The sequence below is a fragment of the Homo sapiens genome, chromosome 1 (assembly GCF_000001405.40).
Source record: "Homo sapiens chromosome 1, GRCh38.p14 Primary Assembly".
Lineage (NCBI taxonomy): Eukaryota > Metazoa > Chordata > Mammalia > Primates > Hominidae > Homo > Homo sapiens.
In genome coordinates, this window is record NC_000001.11 from 156,636,159 (window position 1) to 156,642,116 (window position 5,958).

Genomic DNA, 5,958 nt, shown 5'->3' on the forward strand with positions numbered 1-5,958 from the left:
AGAGACAAGGTCTTGCTCTGTTACCCAGGCTAGAGTGCAGTGGCACTGTTCTAGCTCACTGCAGCCTCATACTGTGGGCTCAAGTGATCCTCCTGCCTCAGTCTCTCAAGAAGTCAGAACTACAGGCATGTGACACCATACCCAGCTGATCTTTCCTTCCTTCCTTCCTTCTTTCCTCCCTCCCTCCCTCACTCTTTCTCTCTCCCTTTCTTCCTTCCTTCCTTCCTTCCTTCCTTCCTTCCTTCCTTCCTTCCTTTCTTTCTTTCTTTCTTTCTTTCTTTCTTTCTTTCTTTCTTTCTTTCTTTCTTTCTTTCTTTTCTTTCTTTCTTTTCTTCTTATTGGTAGACACCAAGTCTTGCTATGTGCCCAGGCTGGTCTCCAACTCCTGGATTCCAGCAATCCTCCTGCCTTGGCCTCCCAAAGTGTTGGGATTACAGATGTGAGCCACCACACCCAGCCAAATTTCCTTATTCTCTAGTCTGACAAGCTATCCTGGCCCAGACCTGGAATTTCTCCAAAGAGTCCTTGTTCCTTTTAGCAGGAAGTGCCATGTAGAGATCACAACTGGGACCCACAGGGGATTCATTGTTATTGGGTTGTCACTACTTCTGAGCCTTTTCAGTGGCATGAGTTCATGCTGATAGTTCCAATTCAGATGAAGGATTAGCAGTATTTGCTGGGCATGGTGGCTTATGCCTGTAATCCCAGCACTTTGGGAGGCTGAGGCAGGCAGACCACCTGAGATCAGAGTTAGAGACAATCCTGGCCAACATGGTGAAACGCCATCTCTACTAAAAATACAAAATTAGCCGGGCATGGTGGTGCGCTCCTGTAGTTCCAGCTACTTGGGAGGCTGAGGTAGGAGAATCGCTTGAACCCAGGAGGCGGAGGCTACAGTGAGCCAAGATTATACAACTGCACTCCAGCCTGGGCAACAGAGAGAGACTCTGTCTCAAAAAAAAAGAAAAAAGAAAAAAAAAGATTAGCAGTTTTTGCTTAACTCTTCTTCTCTTACAGTCAAAATCTTGGTTTCTAACACTATTAATATAACTAATTACTTATTTGCTTTATTATGATAAATAGTGTGTTATAATAATGCTCAAAATAATGCCAACATTAAAATTAATCCATGGCTCCTTTTGCCCTTAGAGAGCTGGAGACATATAGTCAAAATGTTGAGTTTTATAATCACTTGAAATAATTTTTTTTTTTTTGAAACAGAGTCTCACTCTGTCTCCCAGGCTGGAGTGCAGTAGCACAATCTTGGCTCACTGCGACCTCCGCCTCCCAGGTTCAAGGGATCCTCATGCCTCTGCTGCTCCAGTAGCTGGGATTATAGGTGTGCACTACCACACACAGCTAATTTTTGTATTTTTAGTAGAGATGGCATTTCACCTTGTTGGCCAGGCTGGCCTCGAACCCCTGACCTCAGGCGATCCGCCCATCTCTGCCTCCCTAAGTGCTGGGATTACAGGCTTGAGCCTGGCCGAAAGAAAATTCTTCTATGTAGTTTTGCTCCAACTTCATATATAGTTAGGTACATTTGTTACAATTTGTTTTATACTTTTAGGGATTGCTTCATTTTTCTTCATTTTAATTTAATTAAAATTAATGTAAACTCTCTCTAATTAATTTCGTATTTTAATTATATAAAATATTTACATGGCTCCAACATCAAAACCATACAACAAGGGGTTATTACCATTTTACAGGTGAAGAAACTGAAGCACAGGGAGATTAGTACCTGCCCCAACATCACAGACAAATGAGTGGTCCTTCCCCATAGGAGGCTGGGAGAGGCACTACAGGCAGCCTTCTGGTGGGACCTCAAGAGGTAAATTCAGATGTACTCGGGCTCCAGCCCTCCAGTTCCTCCCGCTGTTCTTTGTGCAACAAGCTGATGGTCTCCTCTGAACACATGGGTTTGCAACCCTCAAAGCGCGGTCTGACCAGCTCATGGGGACGCTGGCTCCTGCTGGTGCAGCAGGGGGGCTCTCTGATGATGCTGTTCAGCCTGTAGTCCCCATTGCTGTCTCCCTACTGCTCCACATCCCCTCCCACTCCACACTCCCTGTCTGCGGCAGCAAGAGCCCTCAGAGCCACACTCAGCCATTTCTGCCCCCCACCCCCTCCTGCCTGGGCTGGGGTCCCGTGCTTCCTGGCCTCTTTCAGAAGCTATCAAAGCCCCCATTCTCTGAACACAGCTGTGCCAGCATTCAGAGCCACATCCCCCTCTTCAGCCCTACTCCCACATGCCTATGGCACAAGACCCAGATGCCCGTGCAGGGCCTCGGAGAGGAACTCAGCTGCCTAGGCCCCCACTCCAAGTCTGGGAGAAAGGGGGCAGGTGTTCAAGGAGGTTGGCAGGACAGGCTCTCCCAGTGGCCACTGTGGAATAGAATCCAGTGAGGAAGGCCCAAGGCTAACACTGGAGATGGGGGGAACTCAGGATGCAGGAGCGTGGAGGGCAGATTCTCTTTTCTCAACTTGGGTCATGGCCTCAGCTTTGGCATGGATGGGGGATGTTGGGGGTCCGGTGGAGGCAGGAGATTGATTGTTCTCATCCAGAGAGGCTGGAAAATTCCCCAGGGCCCAGGAGACTGGGAGGCAGCCAGCTGGGCTGCACGTGGGAGAGGGAGGAGAGCTGCCCACGCTCTCCCTCTCTCTCTTTCTTCTCTCCACCTCCCTCTTTCTCCCTCCCCTGATAGACATCTGGGGAGCCCTGGCAAGAACCTTGGCCTGGGAGTCAGGAGACTTGATTTTTGGTCATGGTTCAGCCAGTTCCATGCTGTGTGACTCTGGACAGTTGCTTGACCTCTTTGGGTCTCAGTTTCCGTGTTCAGAAGATATTCAAGGTTACTGGAGGAATTTTTCTCCTGTTACTGAGACAGGAGGTTCTACCTGAAATCTGACTTTCATTCTTCCCGCTGCCATTGATTCTGTTTGCTTTCAGCCAATCCCCAGGGATCTCTTTCTGAGATCTGGAGGGGCTAGGCAGAGCCCCTCCTCTGGAGGGGGTTCTTGCCTCTGGAGGAGGCTGATTCTTGCCTCCTCTCAGAAAGTAAATAGAAACGGGGGAAGACACATATGGCCAAGTGTCCGTAATTGTAAAGAGAGTCTCTGATCAGCAATTGCTGGTTCAAACTGCAGGTTAGCCTTCAGTATAAATTTTCTCAGCTGGAAATGTTGGAAAAGCCTCAGAGTGCCCATTTCCTCCCCTGAGAAATCCTCTGGAAAGGTCTCTACTCCCAAATAATGAGCTCTCCAGGGCAGTGGTCCTCTGACCTCCTGGCCAGGAGATCTGGGCAGATTAGGTTGCTGTGTGTGTGCGCAAGTGTGTGTGACTGGGAAAGGAAAAGAACTAGATTTTGCTAAGCCCGAGTCATGGGCCAGGGGTTTCCCTTGCCTAGAACAGGTACAGTAGATATTGCCCAGTGCAGTAGATATTATTCAGCCCACTGTTCAGAAGAGAGAGTTTCAGAGGAGGAACGGGGCCCTTTCTGAGGTTTGCCACTGCAAATGACAAAACAGGAATTTGACCTCAGTGCCTGTGATGCCAGAGTCCTCGTCTGCGCAACAGCAGCTGTCTGTTCTCTCACCACGTCTGGTCTCCCACCAGGGATCTGCTTTTTGGAACAGACTGTCTGGTACCAGCCCTTGTCCAGACCCAGGTGCTGCTGGCCTCAGTCAAGGGTGGATTCCCCCAGGGCACCGAAGTGAGTGCCAATCCTTCTGGTCATGAGGAGAGGTGGTAAGGAAGGTCACTTTCTCTGCCTTCTCTGGTCACAGCCAGGTTTCCCTGAGGCAAGAACTGTGGTTACATCTGAGCCACCACTGGGATTAAATTTCAGCCGCTTGGTTGCCTGGCTCAGCCTGGCTGGCCTCAAGCCCTGTAGAGCCAGTGTGGAGGTAGGCTGGACACATGCATCCATGCTGAGACTGTCCTGAGGAAGGGGGGTTTTCTTGCAGCTCTGAAATGCAACTTCTAAGGGGAGCAAAAAGACATCCTAAGGCTGCCCAGATCTGTCCCCGAAGGCCTTCTCAGATCCGCTCTTTCTACTAGAAGAATTGGAACTGCATTTCCAGGCCTCGAGCAGTTCCTGGTCCACAGCTGGAATTCAATTCAACTCATATTGGTCTAACGAAGTAAATAGATCGAGGTCCCTTCCTCCCCAGACTGTCCCAGGCACCTTCCTCTGTCCCCTTCAGTCTTGCATCCTTTCTGGGGCATTTTTCTTTTCTTTTCTTTTCTTTTCTTTTTTTTTTTTTTTTTTTTGAGAGGGAGCCTCACTCTATCACCCAGGATATAATGCAGTGGCACGATCTCAGCTCACTGCAACCTCCACTTCCCAGGTTCAAGCAATCCTCCCTGCCTCAGCCTCCCAAGTAGCTGGGATTACAGGTGTCCACCACCACACCGGCTAATTTTTGTATTTTTTTAGTAGAGATGGGGTTTCGCTATGTTCACTAGGCTGGTCTTGAACTCCCGACTTCAGGTGATCCGCCCACCTTGGCCTTCCAATGCTGGGATTATAGGCATGAGACACCGCACCTGGCTGGCATTTTTCTTGGTAAGGAAATTTACCATCTACCCCTCCCTACCCCCCAGGTCTTCTTTTCCTGTCCCTACAGTAGATGGGTCTCTGGGAAGGGGCCAGAATCTTCCCTTTAGACCCTCAAAGATTTGGAGTGGGTTTTTATGTGAGGTTCTCAAAGCCCTTTGGAACCAAGTCCATGGCACTGGGAGTGAAAGCCAGGCAGTGGTGAGTGGGGGCGTTGGCACATTCAGTGGGGAGCAGTCCAGAGTTCCCAAGAGGGACCTAGGGTGCAGTCTAGATGGAAGGCTGGGGATCTGCCTTGAGGTTGCATTTGCATTGAATGCACCTTACTTTACTTGGGGTATTTTGAAGATGCTGTGGAGATTATGAGGATCAAAGCCCTCCAAAGCTATCCTTGGTGCCAATATTGGTATCCAGGGGAGGGAATCTAGGCATCTGGCTGTCCTGCCCACTGTCCGTGCCAGGGGCTTTGCCTACAGTCCCAGGAGGGAGGAGGGAAAAGCAAAGAGAGCCTGGGAAAGGAGAGGGAAGCAGAGGCCCTGGAGCTGGGGGAAAGGAGGGTCATTGGTATTCTGGGCGCTGAGGAGTTCCTGGCTGGGCAGCACTCAAGGCCCACCCCCTGGCATCAGGCTGCACATTCAGCATCGACAGCCCTGGCCAGTAGGCCTTCTGGGCTCCCAGCAACGCCTGCATTTTGCACATTGGTTTGCATGACTGGTAATGTCCCTTCACAGGGCCACCCTCACCCCACCCCCACCCCAGGTCTAGAGATTTCCTGAATTGCTTTGCTTAACCCATGATTCTGCTGTCTAACCTCCATCCTTCCAGCTGCAAAGTCAGCTCCTCCTCTGTGCAGGGAGTGGGAGCACCACAGGAGCCAATGCCCAATCATAGCTGCCTCCAGGGAGGTAGCTACGGTCCTTTGCACCCCATTCTGCCTCCAGAAAAGAGTTTTCCATTTTTTTTATTAGAAAGGGTGTCTCTTTTCAGGAGCAAAGCCCCCATTCTCCCTTCATCCACTTCTTACAGTCTAATTGACTCCCTCCTCCTTCTTCTTTGAACAACGAGAAGACTCTCCAGTTGTCCAACTTCCACCCCTCCAGCTGCAACATCGTCATCCTTTAGCTCAGCGAACGCTGGGCGAACGCTCCCTCCCCGCCCCTCCTGCCCCTCCTCCCTACTCCAAGCCCTCGGCTTCTCATCCGCTGAACGATGTCCTACTTCGCTCGTCCTTGCTCTCGCCGCTGCTGCCGGAGCCGAAGCAGAGAAGGCAGCGGGTCCCGTGACCGTCCCGAGAGCCCCGCGCTCCCGACCAGGGGGCGGGGGCGGCCCCGGGGAGGGCGGGGCAGGGGCGGGGGGAAGAAAGGGGGTTTTGTGCTGCGCCGGGAGGGCCGGCGCC